The sequence below is a fragment of the Homo sapiens genome, chromosome 18, assembly GCF_000001405.40.
Source record: "Homo sapiens chromosome 18, GRCh38.p14 Primary Assembly".
Taxonomy (NCBI): Eukaryota; Metazoa; Chordata; class Mammalia; order Primates; family Hominidae; genus Homo; species Homo sapiens.
In genome coordinates, this window is record NC_000018.10 from 80,240,041 (window position 1) to 80,260,139 (window position 20,099).

The 20,099-nt window shown below is 49.7% G+C and overlaps 1 protein-coding gene across 1 annotated transcript in view, besides 4 other annotated features; it reads right to left on the reverse strand.

Moving 5' to 3' along the window:
• Window positions 1-7,474, reverse strand: part of PARD6G (par-6 family cell polarity regulator gamma) — a 90,283-nt gene extending 82,809 nt beyond the window's left edge. Inside the window, exon 1 of the mRNA NM_032510.4 lies at window positions 7,237-7,474. Coding sequence (NP_115899.1) covers window positions 7,237-7,308 — 72 coding nt within the window. The 5' untranslated portion in view covers window positions 7,309-7,474. The remainder of the gene's footprint in view (window positions 1-7,236) is intronic.
• Window positions 5,612-6,113: an enhancer, noted in NCBI's record as "H3K4me1 hESC enhancer chr18:78003535-78004036 (GRCh37/hg19 assembly coordinates)". NCBI's record gives its function as "activates a minimal SCP1, AML or CMV promoter by ChIP-STARR-seq in naive H9 embryonic stem cells {active_cell/tissue: H9 hESC(naive)}" and the evidence as "EXISTENCE:reporter gene assay evidence [ECO:0000049][PMID:30033119]".
• Window positions 6,114-6,613: an enhancer, noted in NCBI's record as "H3K4me1 hESC enhancer chr18:78004037-78004536 (GRCh37/hg19 assembly coordinates)". NCBI's record gives its function as "activates a minimal SCP1, AML or CMV promoter by ChIP-STARR-seq in naive H9 embryonic stem cells {active_cell/tissue: H9 hESC(naive)}" and the evidence as "EXISTENCE:reporter gene assay evidence [ECO:0000049][PMID:30033119]".
• Window positions 7,640-7,699: a silencer, noted in NCBI's record as "silent region_9595". NCBI's record gives its function as "represses an Ori minimal core promoter by ATAC-STARR-seq in GM12878 lymphoblastoid cells {active_cell/tissue: GM12878}" and the evidence as "EXISTENCE:reporter gene assay evidence [ECO:0000049][PMID:35858748]".
• Window positions 18,033-18,082: an enhancer, noted in NCBI's record as "active region_13551". NCBI's record gives its function as "activates an Ori minimal core promoter by ATAC-STARR-seq in GM12878 lymphoblastoid cells {active_cell/tissue: GM12878}" and the evidence as "EXISTENCE:reporter gene assay evidence [ECO:0000049][PMID:35858748]".

Here is a 20,099-nt window from a genome sequence, read left to right on the forward strand (position 1 = left end):
CCAGCTCTTGCTAGAACTCATAGAGCAAGAACTCACTCATTACCATGAGGATGGCACCAAGCCATTCACGAGGGATCCACCTCCATGACCCAAACACTTCCGTTTAGGCTGTACCTCCAACATCGGGGACCAAATTTCAACATGAGGTTTTGATGGTCAAATATCTAAGCTATAACATTCTCCCTGTTCCCACAAATCTCATGTCCTTATGACACTGCAAAATATAATCATCCCTTCTCAATAGTTCCCAAAAGTCCTAACTTGTTCCAGCATCAGCTCAAAAGTGCAAGTAGTTGTCCCTTTCCTCAAAAAGTAATTTTCTAAATTTGCTCAACGGACCATTTCTGAACCAGTAGCTGTCAGGAAAACCCACTTGTTTTTCATCTGAATTCGACCCAAGGAACACTGATTGTGTCCCTAATATAAACAAGGCACTGCTCTTCCCACCTCCAATGCTGAGCTCTTCCTTACACAGCACGCCATTGAGAAACGCAGCTAGGGTTCTGAACTGGCCTCTGAAAACATGTGGGGAGGATTAAAGAGCCCCAAATAAGGACAAGTGGGGACTGGACCCTACCTGCTTCTGGGAGCTATGGAGACCTGGCCTAGAATCTCAAACCACCTCACACAGGCATCACTGTTGCCGATGCAGAGACTATCAGAGCAATTTCAGGGGAGACTCAGCACATTGACTGGTCTTGCGGGGTGGTGGGATGACTGGGCTGCACCGGAAACCTCCGATTTCAAGGAGACGTGAGGCTGTGGATCTGGTGATAGCTTGATTATCAAGACAAAGGACATTCCACCTCACCCAAATCTGCCCACTTACCTGACTGAACCTTCACTGGTGTTTTTAAGGCAGGGATGTTGTACGTTTTACCCCAGCACATGCCCTATGCCTGCCACAAAGTAGTTGCTCAGTAAATGAGTAAACAAATGTATGGATAAGATCAGACTCTGAAAGAATAGCTACTGAATAGAGGACTTCCCGTGAGGCCATGCAGCAAGAACCTTCTACAGTGATGCAAGAAAAATAGAACTTCTCCCCATAAAACACAAGACTAACCCTCCCAGCTGTTTCTTGCAAGCTCCAGATTCAGACAGCTGAGGGAGTCTCTCACCCTATGCACGGTGAGCTGGGAATGTGTGCACCTGTGTCCTGGTTTGTATTTCATGGCTTATTGGATCCTGAGAGGGGTGTGAGCCCTCTTCCAGCAGCCACGGACAACTGGTGGTTCCCACTCTAGACTTTGGAGCTAGACTATCTGGGTTCCAACCCCACTTATGAGCTTTATGACCTTCGGCAGGTCAGTGAAGCACCCTGTGACTCAGTTTCCTCTTCATCTGTATAGTGGGTGTGATAAACGAACCCACGTTACAGTATTGAGATGGGCATTAGTGAACTATCTGCAATTGCAATGCATTTAGGATGGTCCCTGGCCCACGTTACAGTATTGTGATGGGCATTAGTGAACTATCTGCAATTGCAATGTATTTAGGATGGTCCCTGGCACATATATGCACGTATATTGGAGGGGCATTAAGTAAATGTTATTAATACTCCAGAACACAACCTCTCTGCACAGCAGGCAACGTCCAGCCTGGGGGACTCGGGGCAGGGCCGCAGGGTGTGTGTTGGGAAGAGGCTGGGGCCTACACAGGAGCATGTACCTCCCATGGATCCCCAGGGTCATGGTGCAGTAGAAATTTGCCCAGAGGAAGTGGATTTGACATGTAAGCAGCCAAGTGAACACATCTAACCACCTGGAAGGTTCTGCTGCTGTCATGCCAGGCTCCCTTCTTGCTGCCTCTAAAGGTCATGGAGACCCCTTTATGGGAAAAGATCAGGATGCCTCTCCCCTTTGTACTAATTCTGGACGTGATTCACAAACGCCAGAGCTTCTGAGACCTTGAATGGCTGCATCTCCCAATCCTTGATATTCCTTCACTTCCCTAAAATTAGGGCCTTCTATCTGAAATGCCATGGGTCCTAGGAAAGGGCTCTACCCCCTGGCTAGCTGGGGTGCCCACCTGGAAGGCCATCAGAGTCTCCCAGGCCACAGACCTACAAGAAATTGGCAGCCTCCAGGGGCAGTGACGCCATCAGTGCCCCCCAGGCTGACTCTGCACTTGGGTCCCTGGTAAGTCTCCCTAAGATGTGACTTCCCAAATCAAGTCACTGAACCTGTTTAAGCACAGACATGCACAAATACAACAAAACTAAAGTCTTAAAAGGGTGTAGCTGACACACACAGGTGAGTCAAACCATGTCCAGGCAATTCTTAACTGGCCCACAGGAGGCAAGTGTCAGCCACCCAATGGGGAGGCCTGGCCTCAGCTCCATCCCACCGGCTGTCGCACATCACACAGCTGGAAGGGCATGTTCCTGCAGCACCATGGCAGCCAACGGCCTCAGCCAGCAGTAAGATCTTGGGGACCAGAGGAGATATGCTAACACAAAACACTGCACACCTGGCTGTCCCCAGGAGAACCTGGCCAGCCAGTGCATCAGCCAGCCCACCAACAGGCTCCTCATACCCTTGTCATCCTGGAGGGCCCAAGTTTAATGCCTGGGGGCAAGGTCACAACACTCTCAGAGCCAGTCACCCTCAGCACCATCTGCACTGATTGGAAACATTGCGAACAAGAAGCTCCCATAACTTATTAACTCCCAAGAAAACTAACAGAGAAAAAGGATTCAGGACAAAACCAGGCAGTTGAAAATAAATACACAAATAGCCAATAAATACGAAAATTTCAACTCTCTAATAACTTAAGAGATACAAATTAAAACAATGGGATACCATTTCACTCATCTAATTGGGAAAGAATGAGAAAATGCCCAGCGCTAGAAGGAGGAAAGAAGAAAGGGATGGGGAGAAAGAAACAGATGAATGAATAGATATGAAACAGCATCTATAAATTGGTAAAATAAACTTTCCAGAAGAAAAGTAGAAATACGCACTCAAAGCCTGTAAAAGTACGTGCCTTTCCCAGGTGATGTCACTTCCAGGAATTTGTTCTAAAGATCAGTAAGAATTTTGCACTGGTTTAATATAATCAATAATCTTTACATATTTTATATGTGTATATTCTATATATAATCTTTATATAAAGACTTAAAGATATTATTTACAGCACTGTTTACTGTGGAAAAAATTGGGGTTAACTTAAGATACTGGTTAGTCATGGTTTAGACATGAGCAGGAATATGATGCAGTCTTTTCTGTTGTCTAAAAATATTACTGACATGAAAAAACACTCGCAATACATGATAAGTTAGAGGGGAAGCCGGCTACACCATGACATGCCTATTTGACCCAAATTCTGTAACACAAGAATGCGTGCATCATACAGGCACACAAAAGACCGGAAGGCCAGAGGCAACATTTAACAGTGGCTCACCTTTGGACAGGAGAGCTACCAATGGTGTTGGCCCTTCTTTGTGCTTGGCTGTGGTTTCTAAATTTCCTACGATGACACTGTGTTAGCTTAGAATCCAAAAAAGCCCCATCATTATTTAATCAGGAAGCACAAATGGGATGAAAACCTTCTCCCTCAGATATAATTAACACGACAGACAATCTGTGCCGAACATAACTGTGGCACCAGCATCATGACAAGTGCCAATAAGATGACCAGAAACACCAAGAAGGGGTCGGACAGAGAAAGTTTGTTCTGGCACAGGCATCCAGAATGACTTTGTAGAAGAGGGAGCTGTCTAAGAAGGTCCTCAGGATAGGGCAGATTCTCAGAGAAAGCATTTCAGGTAGGGGAAGCCACAAACTAGGGAAACACAGGCCAAAGAAAGCGTGGGCCGAGGGCATGAGCAGCGGGCCATCTACGCTCACGTCTGAAGGAACTCGGGGCTCTGGGCTGAGCACACTGCTGGGAGCGGGGATGAGCTGTGTTTCTCTGGATTTTTCAAGCTCATGCGGACGACAGTGGAATTGACGCAATACTGACGTAGGTAAAGGCGTTGCTAAGTTCGTAGTGGCACCGTGTTGCTTGCTGTCTTCTCCTCATATGAAAATTCATCTCCATTTACCGCCCCCTGTAAACCCCTTCCGATCCCAGCACTGGCTTTTCCGCTGCATTCTAAGGTGGCCAAGGACTCTTGCTCTCCTCCACGTGAAACACCCTAACCCTCTGCGTAGCTCCTCCCTCCCCACGGCAGGTCCTGTGGAAGGAGAGGCCAAAGTCGAAGCTAAGTGGGAAAAGGGTGGTCCCATGAACAGAACTAGGGAATTGGAAGTACATACTGCAGCTGGTTTGGTGAGGAACAGATGAATCACTGGAATTCAGGTAAAAATGTTTGGAGAAGTATAAGGGCTGCAAAATGAGGAAAAGCCACCAGGTCAAGATCAAGACCATATGGCCCCTCGCGCACACACACCAGGGTCCTGTCCCTAAGCACTGGGGACTGACCATCTGTGGCAAATGGTGAATGACAAAAATTCTGAGAGAACCTAAGGCAGTTTTCCAACCCAATATCTTAAAATGCCAAAGAATTCTGACCTGCAGTATTTAACTCAAAGCGCTCTTGTATTCAATGCATTTCATCTTGATAGGTAAGCAGAAAAGGTATCATGCCCATTTTACAGATGAAATAACCGATGCTTGGAAAAGTTAAATGACTTGCCCAAAAGCTCACAAATGCAGTAGGTGGCAGAACCCAGGCTGGACTCAGCTCCCCAGACGCCATTTTCCCCACAAACCAAACCATGGTGTTATGGTGCTACATTGAGGTTGTCATAAGGCTTTGCTGTTATTTTGACAACAGCGGCTCCCTATGGAGATAGATGCTACAGTAACAAATATTAACCATAAAGTGGGTAAGTGGGAAGCTGTGCACAGAAGGAAGAGCCACACGGACCCTCTGGACAAGCAGCAAGTTCAGCCCCATCACGGTGGGGAGGGCACAACAGCAAGTCCAGTAAGGCCCAGGTCAGTGTGGCCCTTCCAAGGACACCCCAGTTCAACCAAAACTCTGGCGCTGCCACTCACCTCCAGACAAGCATCTGCTGCATCTGAACTTGAATCCATGCTTGGGGTGTAAGGCAGCACCCCTTCTTTGCCAAGTGGAGCTGGCAGAAGCAGGCAGGCTGACACCCCAGGGAAGGCAGAGGCAGCCTCTGTAGTGCCAGCAGCCCAGGACTGCAGGATGAGGCCTGGTGAGGGCATGTCCTCCAGACCTACCCTGTGCCTGGTTGAGGCCTCTGATTCTCTGGAGCTATGTGTGTGAGGAGGCAGCCACCCTCTGCAGAGGGCAAATGAGCACAGAAGTGAGTCTTTAACGCTCATGTTAACCAACCAGTCCTCCCTGGTTAAACAGCTGCTGTGAAGGGCAGCAGGAAGGATCCTAGGATGAAAGGGGAAAACTGCTCTGCACCTTGATTGTGTTGGTGGTCACACCACCGCACAGACCTAGGCGTACACGAATGAGTGTGTCACGCTGCTGAGACCCGCTAAGGTCTGTGTCCAGGATACGACAGTGTGCTAGTCACACGAGATGCCACCATCAGGGAGGCTGAGCAAAGGCTCAGAGGCTGAGAACACAGACCTCTATATTCTCTCACAGCTACTTGTGAATGTACAATAATCTCAAAATAAAAAGTTAAATAAGATTACATACCACACGTGCTTATTGTCTACTGTACTAGATAGTGCAGCTCCAGAGAGCTGTGTTCCCACTGAGCTAAAGAAACCTCCCGCCCATGCTTGTGGGCTCTTCCCCTCACCTAACCCACAGCTGGCACACTTGATTTGGGGGAGCTGGGGGCACTTCTGTGCTCCAGAGAAGATGGGTGTGGGGCCGAGGTCATGGGGCAAGGGTAAGGACAGGATCTTATGATAAATGAGGGATTCATTAAAAGACCGTGTACCCCTAAGCAGAGAAGGATCCTGCAACTCACTGTAGCAGGCTGGAGAGGCGGCCATGCTGTTGCTGGGACACCTCCCCGCCTCAATCCTCTGCAGACACCCTGGAAATCCTACTCCAAAGGTCAGAGCAGCACAGCGAGAGGGGGCTGTTGGACTTGCCTCCCCAGAGACAGGGGAGGGAACACCCGCCCTGCGCCCAAGATAGGCACACAGTTAGGGGTGCGGGCTCCCACTCCGCCGTTAGGAGCCTTTCCCACAACTCTGAGAACCGGGGTGCGAAGAAAGAAAGGGCGAAAGGGCCGCTCAACTCCCAGAGAGTAGCCAGCGAAAGACTCGAGGGGCCCCCTCCCGCAGGACCCCGAACAACTGCAGCACCTCCTCAGCCCGCGGGGTCCACCAAGGAGACCCTCACAAACAATAGCATCTGCGGCGAAGGAACCACCCCCGCAAAGGGCAGAAGCGCCAGATCCTACCAGCCAATTACCCAGACGCGCATCGCGACCCGCAAGTTCGGGCACGCTCCGCCCGGGCGCAGGCAGCGGGAGGGGCCGGGCACGCCCGTGGGGGTGGTCTGGGTACGGGTCTGATCCGGGGGCGCGCTCGGGAGGGGTCTGGGTCTGAGCCGGGGGCGCGCCCGGGGGAGTGGGCTGGGTCTGGGGCGGGGGCGCGTCCGGAGGTGGGGGAGTCTGGGGTGGGGGCGCGCCCGTGGGGGTGGGGTGGGGTGTCTGGCCCGGGGACGCGCCCGGGGAGGCGTGGTCTGGGTCTGGGCCGGGGGAGAGCCGGGTGCGTGCTCTGGGTCTGCGCGGGGGAGCGCGCCTGGTGCCTAGATGTTTGGTACCGAGCGGGTGGGGGACGCCGGGCTCGGAGCCGGCGGCAAGTCTCCTCCTGGCAGGTAACAAGCCTCCTTTGCAGCCTTGAAGGCGCCTTGGCCAGGGCCATCCCACGGCCCGGGCCCCCAGAGCCCCCCCACGGCCCCGAATCCGAGCAGCCCCTGGCCCTCAACTCGCCCCGGAAAGGCCGCCCTCCCCTCCAATGTGTGGCGCGCCCCGATCGCCTCTCACTCGTGGAACAAAAGAGCAGCTCCCGCGGAGCGGGTCCAGAGTCTGCCCGGACTGTCCGATGGCCCTCGGCCCTCTGAGCGCCGCGGCTGCCGGGCTTTGTGTCCGCGCGGGGGGCGGGAAGGACGGCCGGGGTCCCCAGTGCGCGTCCCGCGGAGCGGCGCGCGGCGCCCGAACTGGAAAGTTGTCGCCGGCGCCTGTCGCCTCCACGCCGCCCCAGTCCCCCTCCGCGGGGCGCCCCATTCATTAGCCAGGAGACTGGGCGCAGGGCCGCCGGGGCGGGCGGGGGGCTTACCTTGCTCTTGACTTCCACTGCGCTGCAATCGTAGAATCGCAAGGTCTGAGACTTGTGAAAACTTCGGTTCATGGTTTCGGCCCCGGTCAGCCTCGCCGTCGCCCTCGCTCCTCAGGGGCCGCAGAAAGACTCCCGGGGGCGGCGCCCCCAGGCCCCGGCCCCGGCCCCGGCCCGCGCTCGCTTGGCCGGCGGGCTGCTCCCGGTGCTGCGGGCCCGAGCTGGGCTGGCCGCGCGCCTCAGGGACTCCAGGGGCCGCGCGCGGGAGGAGCGCGGGGGACGCCGGCGCGCGCCGCCCCACCTCCCGGCGCCCGCGCCCGCGCCCCGCCCCGCCCCCGAGCCCCGGAGGACCCGCCCATATCCCCGCCCACAGCCCCGCCCCGCGCTCCGGAGGACCCGCCACACCACGCCCCCACGCTGCAGCTCCGCGTCGGATCGCCAGTGGGTGCGCGCCCTCCTGTCCACAATCCCAGAGCCTGGGGAAAGGAGCATCGCGGCCAGCCCAAGGCGTCTCGTTTTGATTGCCTCCACCGAGCAACCTAGGATAGGGGTTGATTTTTGCCATTGTTTTGGGTAATATTCAAGTGAAGAATGCTAACGAGAACCACTGGAGACCTGATCCCAAAAGGCATCACCTGTCAGTACTAATTGTCAAGTTGCTGATGGCCTGGGAGAAGGGTTTTATCAAATAGGCTTAGAGCAGCCTGGCCAATACGGTGAAACACTATCTCTACTAAAAATACAAAATTAGCCGGGTGTGGTGGGGGGGGTGCCTGTAATCCCAGCTAATGGGGAGGCTGAGACAGGAGAATCGCTTGAACCCGGGAGGCGGAGGCTGCAGTGAGCCGAGATCGCATCACTGTACTCCAGCCCGGGAGGCAGAGCGAGACTCCGTCTCAAAAAATAAAAAATAAAAATAAAGGCTTAGAGGGCTTTATTAGATAGCCTATCTCTAGGGAGAGGATCAGAAGCACCTGCCTGATGCGAAAGGAGACTTTTTCTAAGGCAGCTAGAAAAAGAGAACCTGTTAAGACAAAGAATCAATTACTAGCAGCATCAATGAATATTTACCAATCAAGAGGCCTCTGAAACGGGCTTGCTGAAACCAAAGATACAATCCTTGCCCTTGAGGAATTTGTGATGAAGTTCAGAAGACAAGACAGTTTTTAAAAAATCATTTTGAAGTATACTATGAATTGTAATCTACAAGCCATATAATTATAAATCTCACCATACATTCATTGCAAAAGAAACCTGCAGAATATAAAGAAGTGAAAAAACCTGTAAAAATTACCTGTAGTCATGCTACTCAGCAATCAACTGTATTAACCTTTGGTGTATTTTATTTTCACTTATTTTTCTGCATATATATTTGTATATTTTACAAAGTTGTGACCATGCTGTTTATCTCGTTTTACAACTTGCACTTTTCACCTTGTGCTATATAATGAACTTTTTCTTCTTCTAAAAACAGGATCTTGCTATGTCGCCCATGTTGTAGTGCAATGCCATAATCACAGCTCACTGCAGCCTCAAACTCCTTGGCTCAAGCAATCCTTCCACCTCAGCCTCTTGAGGACCACAGATTTGTGCCACCACACAGACTAATTTTATTTTTATTTTTGTTTTTTGTAAAGATGGGGGTCTCTTTATGTTGTCCAGGCTTGTCTCAAACTCCTGGCCTCAAGCAATGCTTCCACCTCTGCCTCCCAGATGTGAGCCACTATACTCGGCCAGAACGGTTTTATTAAATGTTCTTAGAGAAGATGTTTTCTAAAAGGTGCTTATATGAATATAGGCATAATTTATAATCATTTCATTATTGTTGGATATTTAAGATGTTTCCACTGTTAAGCTTTTATATCACACTGTTTTAAAAATTTGCTTATATTCAATGTTTTAAATGGACTTCTAAAATTAGAACTACTAGGCCACAAACTACACACCTCTAAAGCCTTTAACACAAATTACTTTCATAGAAATCTGATTTTCCTTTATTTTTGCTAAGTATTTACCCTGTTATATGCTGGGACTTAGTGCCAGGGAGTACCATTACAAAGCCACTGAGTTATAATCACTGCCCTTTAGAGAAATGCTAGGCTGGCCAGAGGACCGGATATGTAAACAGAGTTCCAAAACAAGGCACGTGCGCAGTAAGTAAGCAAGCAAACAAAAAATGCCAAGAGACACACACTTGGCAAGCAGACTGTGGACAGAGGTGCTGCCATTCTTTCAAGGGAAATTTCCTAAACTGAATGCAAATCTTTGGATTTGAGAAAAGTCACAGGCTCAATGCTGACTGCAAGTTGCCCATTACAGTGGGCAACATTGTTTTGTGGTTAGAAGAGGCTCAGTAATATCCTGAGGGAGGAGCTCCAACTGTCACATTTTAAGAAATGCAGGGACAAAGGAGTATGTGGAGGAATGAACAGCACTGTAGGCAATGAAGGTGGGAGTGGGGTCCACCCAGTAAGCTCGGGGCTTTGGAGTGGGAAGACGCCTTTTAAAGGAAAGGCTGGAAGGCTACGGAATTTCAAGTAGCCCTAGACTTGGCTCTGGACCAGGTTGATGAGAGTGAGATCACTTTGTCAATGCCTGTGGCTCAGAGTGTGGTGTAAGGCCCAAAATCTGCTCCACCTGGCACTTGTTAGCAATACCCCACCCAGACCCACTGAATCAGAATCCGCACTTGAACAAGATCCCCAGGTGATTCATGTCCACACTGAAGTTTGAGAGGTGCTGCTCCTTTATCTTAATCATCTGTTGCTCCACAGTTCTTGATTGGCATGATCTGCAGGCAAAAGCAGGAGGAAAGGCTGGGAAAGCTTGCTGTTGCGTGTGGAGCTTGAGTTTCCAGCTGAGACTTGAACTGGATTTGCTAGGGCTTTGAGCTCTAGGTTCAGGCGGGTATAGACCAAAAAAAAATTAACTGAGCCTTCAGCTGGAAAGGCTTTTACACAGTACAGCAGCCAGATTGGAAAAAACAAAAGCCCTCTCCTACCAGACACAGTGGCTCACACCTGTAATCCCAACACACTGGGAGGCTGAGGCTGGAGGATTGCTTGAGGCCAGGAGTTTGAGACTAGCCTAGGCAACATGGTGAAACCCTGTCTCTCCAAAAAAAAAAAAAAATTAGCTGGGCATGGTGGGACACACCTATAGTCCCAGCTACTCAGGCGGCCAAGGTGGGAGAATTGCTTGAGCCCAGGAGGTCGAGGCTGCAGTGGGCTATGATTGTGCCACTGCACTCCAGCCTGGGTGACAGAGAGAGACCTCATCTAAGCAAAAAGAAGGGAGTGGGGGAGGAAAAGGAAAAGAAGAAAGAAAGAGAAAAGAAAGGAGAGAGAGAAAAGACTCCTCAGATCCTGGCCTGATAGCCTGCCTTTTCACACAACTGGGGGTCATGGGAGCCTCTGAGAGGCTGACTTGTTTCAGACAGAAAATGAGAGAGAAAATAGGAATGGGTAGGGGTTAAATCTTCCTCAAATCACGGCTTCTAAGAACCCATCTAATAACTGAACCATCAGGAGCAAAAAGGAAGTATGTTGTGGACCCAGTAAAATGTATTCCTTGACTGGGTGCAGTAGCTCAAGCCTGTAATCCTAGCACTTTGGAAGGCCCCTCTGCAGTGGCTCATGCCTGTAATCCTAGCACTTTGGAAGGCCCCTCTGCAGTGGCTCATGCCTGTAATCCTAGCACTTTGGAAGGCCAAGAGGGGCAGATTGTTTGAGACTGGGGAGGCTGAGGTGGGAGGATTTCTTGAGACTGGAAGGTCGAGTGTGTGGTGAGCTGTGATCATGCCACTGCACTCCAGGGCATAGCAGAGTGAGACCCTGTTGAAAAAAAGATGAGAGCAGGTTCTTTTATGATGAGAGCAGGCTCTTTTATGATGAGAGCAGGCTCTTTTATGATTGAACATTTGTTGCTGATGTATATGTTCTAAGAAAACATTCTCTAAGATAATTTCGTTGGGTAATAGGAAAGCATCGCTGTAATATTTGAACCAGCAGGCTGTTGCATTTGCAATGCATTCTAATATATTTTCGGATGAGGCAGGCAAAGAACTGATATTCGATTGAAATAAGGAAATGGCAGAGTAGTTATGCCTCATTATCACCTGATTCTCATATAAAGGCATCCCTTCTTTTTACCCTTTACTCTTCCCCTGCTCAAAGAGGCCTCTTCTGCCTTTTTTAAAAATTTTCATTTTTGAGATGGAGTTTCATTCTTGTTGCCCAGGCTGGGGTGCAATGGCGCGATCTTGGCCCACTGAAACCTCCGCCTTCCGAGTTCAAGCGATTCTCCTGCCTCAGCCTCCCAAATAGCTAGGACTATAGTCATGTGCCACGACGCCCGGCTAATTTTGCATTTTTAGTAGAGACAGGGTTTCACCATGTTGTCCATGCTGATCTCGAATTCCTGACCTCAGGTGATCCACTCGCCTCGGCCTCCCAAAGTGCTGGGATTATAGGTGTGAGCCACTGTGTCTAGCCTCTTCTGCCTTTTTGATGCAGTAATATCTTGACTCTCAATGGAAGCTTCATGCCTAAATTGACTTACCAGTAGCTCTTTCAGCAGATGGCACCGTTGGCCAGAATAGAATGAATTCCCTGCATTCCAGAGCCATCTGCCCACATCCTACAAAGTGGCCCTGGTTGCATCCCCTAGATTGGTGCAAAGGGCTCTCTCCTCAACCAGCTTGCGGTGTGACCTGCATGTCCACCCCCAGGTGGAAGACAAAAGGCAGGTGGTAAACCTTACGCAGCTGTCTCTGACTTTGCATTAAAACTCTGGGACACTTTTACAAAATACAAATAAAAGCACCTAGAACATGAAGCACAGTCTTTGTTCCAAGTATTACACTAAGCATGGATTAGAGTCTCAGGATCTGTTTTAAAAAGAGTCAGTCCGTAAAGCTTTTCACTGACTTGGTGAATGTATCAGAATGTGATTTTATGGCAGAAAAGCGTGGTCAGTTTTCAGCCACACAGCATCCATTCATCAGCATGATTCATCTCCTCGTGCACACTCCCAAAGCATTTCAGAGGTTCAAAGCAGTTGCAGGCCCTACTGATTTCCTATTAGATGAAACTGCATGCTTTTCCTCTTGTCTATTTCAGCATGGTTTCTTGGTGGTCCAGTTTACGGCCATCTCCAAGATAATGTCTCTGATTCATCAAATTCTGCCATGGTGGCGGCCTGTACCGGGCCCTGGCAATACAAACATTAAGGAAGCACTCATGTCTTCTGGCCTTGAGGTCTTAGCCAAAGCAAGAATCCTGAAGCTAGGTGTGAAGAGTTCATTCACTCTAAATGGATATGCATCAACTCCTTATTCTTAGATATGTGGGGAAATCTTCCCGGAAGATGCTGCTTGATCACTCAAGTTGTAAAACCAACAGCATCACACAGAAGGCAGTGAACAAGCAACTTCCTGGAGCCATCCTTAGCCCCAAAGGAAGACGGGCTTGGATTCAGACCGTACCCAGCTTGATATGTAGTCCCCTCTGTCCTCAATATGTGCCTGATTTAATTGTTCTAGAGCATCCCACAGAAACCCCAGATAATGCCCACAGGCCTAAGGACATACTGGGAAACCCTCTGGGCTCCCTCAGATGACCTTGATCCAGTCTCTCAGTCTCCTGGTTCATGTCCCAGTCTCTGTACCTCTGCATGCCCTTCTGATATCTTCTTCTTGTTGATCTCGATCTCCCAATTTTACTGCCAAGAGTGAGTGCCTGGACTTTCACTCCCTGCTAAGCACTAACATCCCTGTGACCTCCAGGGGTGAGAAAGTCCTAGAATTCCAGGTCCTCTTCCTCTCTTTCCTGCCTACACATATCCACAGATTCTCGGACATGGTCTCAAGCACTCTTTTGGGTCACTGGTCACCGAGACTCAACGTGTGCAACGCAGACAGAGCTCATCGTTTCTGACCTTGCTCCTCTCTCCCCAAACTTCTCAGGAGGCGTCTGTCTCCACCTTCATAAACATCATCGCTCAGTGACCTACTCCAGGAAAGGTCATTCTGGACTCTCTTCCTGCCGGACTGCCTGTCTCCCAGCCCCATCTCAGGCAGCTCAGGGGTCACTCNAGTCCCTNCGAGTGGACCCTCTCCTCCAGGCATGTGTCAGGGCTGCTGGTCCCCTGCGGTCTGTGAAGCCCACCACTTCCCTTTTCCTATCTGCAGCCTGGCCCCGATCCTCCCAGTGACCCGGGGGCCTTTCTGTGTGTGGTGGTCTCAAGGGCCTGTCTTTGAGCAGGCAGCCTCTTTGGCTGGACCTCTGGTCCCCTTTTCTGCCTAGCTAACTCCTCCTCCTCCTGCAGGCCTGGGGCTTCCGTCCAAGGACTGCTCCTCTGTGCATGGCTCTATCATTGCATTCTCACTCTCGGGAGGGGGACTTGCTTACTTTTTGTCTTCTCCATCGGATGGCAACTTGAGGACGTAGGTTTAGCATTTAATCTCTGTTATGTCTGATTTTTCTTTTCAAGGGACACTCATCCGGGTTTCTTACTTTTGTATTTCTCATAATCTTTATAGCCGTCCCTCTTTGTTTCTGTAGAATAAACCCCTATAAGTGGCATTGGTGGATCACAAGGAAGGCACATTGATTTCTGAAATGTACCACTGAATTGCCTTCAAAAACATTGTTCTAAGCTGTACTCCCACTAGCAGGAATGGGGGATCCCAGGCACCCCTTCTTGATGTGACTCTGATAGCCCCACGTGGGATGCGGTGGGGATGGGGANTGGAGATGGGTGTGGCCTCTCTGTGGGTGTGGCCTGTCCACTGTGGGCGTGGCCTCTCCTCTATGGGTGTGGCCTCCCTGTGGGTGTGGCCTGTCCACTGTGGGCGTGGCCTCTCCTCTGTGGGTGTGGCCTCCCTGTGGGCATGGTCTGCCTCCACCCCAGGTGTTCCTTGTGCCCTGCTGTCCTGCTTGGCAAAGTATGGAGAAACTTGCTGGCCGACTACTCACTCAGCTGTTAAAGCCCTGTCTCCTTCTTTGGCCATCATCCTGTGAAGTGGTGGCACTGCCTCTCACAGTGAGGTCACTGAGCCGTCTCAGGAGAGTGATGCTCTGAGGGAGGAACGTGAGTGGGAGCTGAAGGGAGAGGCATGGGGGTTGGCAGGCAGCATGAGCCCCAGCTGTGCCCTGGACAGGAGGGCTCTGTGAGTGTATTTGACGGCTGGGTGATGTTTGCCCCACATGCCTTCACATATGTGAGGTTGTTGGAAGGATAGGCTCACTGCCTGGGGTAACCAGGTCTGAGGGTCTTTTGAAGGGGGTTGGGGTCTTTTGAAGGAGGTCATGTGAGTGCAGGGCAGGGGGGTGGAGGGTGGGGAGTGGGCATTGGACCTGGTCCCCTTTGAAATTAGTGAGACATGAGTAGGAAAGCAGGAAATTCCTCTGGCTGGTTGGCCCCTGGTGTGAGATAGGGTCAGCAGATGTGGGTAGTGGGGACCTCTGTGGATAAAGGCCCTTTACCTGTAGGAGGCATTCACCAAGTCTATCGAAGGCTTCTCTATGCCACTCACTGTGAGATGCAGGATAGGGATTGATCTGGGTCCAGCTCTCCTGGGCCTGTCTCAAGACCTTGAGAGAGGCAGTGTTCAGAGACACCTGCAAATAGAACTTTCCTGATTAGAGTGGTATGTTGGATACTGTGATTTCCCCCGATATCCATTTCTCCCCTTTTTAGAAATGGAGTATCTCCATCTTCCTCAATTTTAGCAAGGTCCATCTCACAGCCTCCCTTGCAGCTAGATGTTACCACCCAAACAAGCTCTGGCCAATGAACCTAAGTCGAAATGATGATCTACCCATTACCTGCCACCCACCTTGCCACTGCCTGTTGGCCTAGGATTGGCAAGCAGTGGATCTTTGGCCCTGGGCCGGAAGCTGTGGGTTAGGGATAGCAGAGTGGCCTTGTCAGCCCAGGAGAATTCTTTCCGCCTGGACAGTGAGTGTGTTTGGAGCTTTCAGCTGCTTCATTTTAGCTGTGCTGTATCCAAAACTAGTAACTGAAGCCACGTGTGTTCTCAAGTTCCCCATGGGTATGCCTCTGGAATGAAAAGATTTACGGAGGACAGATTGGAGGCTGTGGAACTTCAATGTGCAGGGCAGCAAAGACTGTAATGACTCAAGTTCTAGATAGCACAGGTATTCGGTGGTAATTAGGTGGGATGTGTATTAAGACTGCATTTATGCAGCAAGCACATTGCAGTTGCTTAATTGTATTTATTTGGGTTTGTGTGCCTGAAGGGCTGATGGAGATTAAAGTGGGACTNGGGGTGAGGGTATTGTGACACAGCCCTTTNTCCCCTNAGNNNNAATAGAAAAGGAGGGGAGTNNTAGGGTCATANACTTNNCTTCCATTTNCTNCTAAGAGCTTTAAGGTCACGACATGCTCTCATACGCAAAACTTCATCTGATACATACACAGAAACCCCATGAAGTATACGGGGCAGTAGTGCATTCATTTAGAGGGCTCTTGGGTGGAAGATGTTAATAAACTGCCCAGGTACCATGGTTCAGCAGAGCATTGTCCATTGCTGGGGCCCTTAGGGATCCCCAGGATTTATTTCAGTGTGCCCATAATGGGCACACTGAAAACTGGGAACAGTTTCTCACAAAGCAAATACCCCATCGTCCACCACAAAACACACTCTCAGCTTATTCATCAACGTGGCACTGGGGTCCTTAATGTGTGGCAGGCAGAGGTAGTGACAGTGAGCAAATAGCCCAGGGACTACCTGAGCTAAAAGCAACAAAGGAACCAAACGCTTCGACTTTCTGACCAAACCTAGTTCCCAGCTGAAGCTGGTCTCATGCAAGTGTGCTGGCCTGAGTGATCTCATGTGCTGTGAAGGCTCTGCCAAGGAGGGATGGTGGCTAGGGTCAGGCCTCCTTAAGAGGGGTCCTGGATCCCAGCTCTTTGAGAGGCCAGGGTGGGAGGATCACTTGAGCCCAGAAGTTTCGGACCAGCCTTGGCAACATAGAGAGACCCTGTCTCTGCAGAAAAAATAATAATAATATAATTTTTTTNAAAAAAAATAGCAGAGCATGGTGGCATGTGCATTTAGTCCCAGCTACTCAAGAAACAGAAGTGGGAGGATCGCCTGAGCACAGAACGTCCAACCTGCAGTGAGCTGTGATGGTACCGTGATGCTCCATCCTGGGCAAGAGAGTGAGATCCTGTCTCAAATCATCAATCAATCAATCAATCAATCAATCAAGAGGCTTTGGAGAAACCCACAAAAGACTTTAATACTTTGGTTGTGTTTTGAGTACTTAAGTCCAACATACAAAGGGATATAATTTATAATCTTCACAATTATGATTTTCTTTCTTTTCTTTCTTTCTCTCTCCTTCTTTCTTTCTCTTTCTTTCTTTTTTCTTTTTTTTNGAGACAGATCCTCACTTCTTGACCCAAACTGGAGTGCAATGGCGCAATCGTGGCTCACCGCACCCTCTGCCTCCCTGGTTCAAGCAATTCTTCTACCTCAGCTTCTCCAGTAGCTGAGATTACAGGCATGTGCCACCATGCCCAGCTCATTGTTGTATTTTTAGTAGAGATGAGGTTACACCCTGTTGACCAGGCTGGTCTCAAACTCCTGACCTCAACTGATCCACCTGCTTCAGCCTCCCAAGGTGCTGGGGTTAAAGGTGTGAGCCTCTGTGCCCAGCCATGATTTTCTTTTCTTGCCCTGATTTCCCATTGCAATGACAGTGGATGTCACAGCTGTGGATGCTCCCTTGGAGCCCTGTTAGTCCTGTCTTCCTGCTCCTCTGCAGACAGCATGGCTGCAGCCTGTGTCACACCCAGGGTGAAATGGTGGTTGGTGCTTTTCAGGTGAGTACGTCCTTTCATTCCATGGTTGGAGTGAGGGCTCCGGTTTCAGACTGGGTTCAGGTAAAAATTCTTAGAAGTTACAGTTAGGGTAAGAGTCAGGGTGGGGATGATGCTTAGGTCTCAGCTGATAGGTGTTAAAAATAGGAGTTAAATGGTAGAGTTTGGATTCCCAACTGGGTTTGGGAAAATATTAATTGTAGGGTCCAGCCCCACAGGGTCGGTGGGTTTCTCCCTGTGTGCAGAGATGAGAGAGTGTAGAAATAAAGATACAAGACAAAGAGATGAAAGAAAAGACAGCTGGGCCCGGGGGACCACTACCACCAAGACACAGAGATGCAGAGACTGAATGCTAGGCTTTGCTGATATTTATTGGATACAAGACAAAGGGGCGGGATAAGGAGTGTGAGCCATTTCCAATGATAGGTAAGGCCACGTGGGTCACGTGTCCACTGGACAGGGGTCCCTTCCCTGCCTGGCAGCCGAGGCAGAGAGAGAGAGAAGGAGAGAAAAAGTTTACATTATTATTTCTGCTTATCAGAGACTTTTAGTACTTTCACTAATTTGCTACTGCTAACTAAATGGCAGAGCCAGGTGTACAAGACAGAACATGAAGGCGGACTAGGAGCATGACCACTGAAGTACAGCATCACAGGGAGACAGGCCTCTGGATAACTGCGGGTGGGCCTGACATCCACAAGAGGTGGAGGAGTAGAGTCTTCTCTAAACTCCTCTGGGGAAAGGGAGACTCCCTTTCCCAGTCTACTAAGTAGCGGGTATTTTTCCTTGACACTGAGCCTACCACTAGACCACGGTCCGCTTGGCAATGGGCGTCTTCCCAGAGGCTGATGTCACCGCTAGACCAAGGAGCCCTCTGGTGGCCCTGTCCGGGCATGACAGAAGGCTCGCACTCTTGACTTCTGTTCACTTCTCACTATGTCCCCTCAGCCCCTATCTCTGAATGGCCTGGCTTTTCCTAGGTTATGATTATAGAGGGAGGATTATTATAATATTGGAATAAAGAGTAATTGCTATCAACTAATGATTAATGATATTCATATATAATCATGTCTAAGATCTATATCTGGTATAACTATTCTTGTTTTATATTTTATTGGAGTGGAACAGCTCATGTCCTCGGTCTCTTGCCTCGGCAAAGATTAGATTAGGGTTAGGTGAGGGTGAGGGTGAGGGTGAGGGTGAGGGTGAGGGTGAGGGTTAGGGTTAGGGTGAGGGTGAGGGTGAGGGTGAGGGTGAGGGTGAGGGTGAGGGTTAGGGTGTTAGAGGGTTAGGGTTAGGGTTAGGGTTAGGGTTAGGGGGTTAGGGGGTTAGGGGGTTAGGGGGTTAGGGTGAGGGTGAGGGTGAGGGTGAGGGTGAGGGGTAGGGGTAGGGGTAGTGTGTGGGTGTGGTGTGTGTGGGTGTGGTGTGTGGGTGTGGGTGTGTGGGTGTGGGTGTGGTGTGTGGGTGTGGTGTGGGTGTGGGTGTGGGTGTGGGTGTGGTGTGGGTGTGGTGTGGGTGTGGTGTGTGGGTGGGGTGTGGGTGTGGTGTGGGGTGGGTGGGTGGGGGGGGTGTGTGTGGGTGTGGTGTGGGTTTAGCGGAGGGGTAGGGGTAGGTTTAGGGGTAGGGGTGGGGTAGTGTTAGGGGTAAGGGAGGGTTAGGGGTATGGTTAGGGTTAGGGTTAGGAGTAGTGGTGGGGTAGGGTTTGGGGTAGGGTTAGGGTTAGGGGTAGGGTTATGGTTAGGGGTAGGGTTACGGTTGGGGGTAGGGGTAAGTTTAGGGGTAGGGGTGAGGGTTAGGCTTAGGGTTAGGATTAGGGTCATGGTTTCATTATCTCAGCAGGAGGAATGGGGAAGGAGAGCAGGGTGTTAATAAGGAGAAGGTCAGCAATAAAACGTGAGCAAAAGAATCTATGTCATAATTCAGTTCTAAACCATAGTAATTTATAGCGTAAATTCTTTTTCACATGACGTATTCTATCCTGGGATAGTCCATATCCTGAGTTATTTTATTTAGTTTGAATAGAGTTTGATTAACCATTTGGCTGTAAAATTCTGCATATTTTGACAAATGCATTGTAGCAGGTATCCCACTATTAAAGTATCATATAGAATGCTTCAAACCCCCACCCCATGGAGCCAATGGCTTCCCATCCGTGTAGTTTGCCTTCTCCAGTGTCTCATTAAATGAGATTACACTGTGTGTATTCTCCTCAGACTGTTTTCTTCCACTTAGCAATGTGCATGCAAGATTCATTCATGTCTTTGTGTGAGTTGATAGCTTGTTCCTTTCTATGACTAAATAGCATGAATGTACCACAATTTGGTTATACATTTTGGGGAGCAAAACCTTCCTCTTCTAACTTTGTTCCAGGGTTGGAGACCTTCAAATTAACCGACTATAAATAAATTAGTAGAAGAGACAATACATGGCTTCTTCTTCCACAAGTATGATTGTGGGACAAAATTCAGCAGATGGCAGGATCCAGTTTACAAAGAGGTAAAATTAGCCCAGAAACAAGAAACAAGACTGGAATCTGATAACCCACAATGGCTATAGTTTTCCTTTAAAAAAATTTTTTTTGATACAGGGTCTGGCTCTGTCCCCCAGGCTGGAGTGCAAAGGTGCAATCTCAACTCCCTGCAACCTCTACCTCCTGGGTGCAAGCGATCCTCCCTCCTCAGCCTCCTGATTAGCTAGGACTACAGGCACATGCCATCATGCCCATCTAATTTTTGTATTTTTGGTAGAGACGGGGTTTCACTATGTTGTCCCGGCTGGTCTTGAACTGCTGGCCTCCCAAAGTGCTGGAATTATAGGTGTGTGCCACCATGCCCGGCCATGTTATAGTTTTCCATTGAAATGTAAAATTTATCTCTGTAGTAACCATTATTTTTGATCATAATCAAAGTAAGACTATTCTTGTTTTAAAAATAAGTCTAGTTTTGTTAGATTTTGCTTGATTATTTATGTAAGTGCAGCAAGAACAGGAGATGACCACGTGGGTGCTTTCAAGT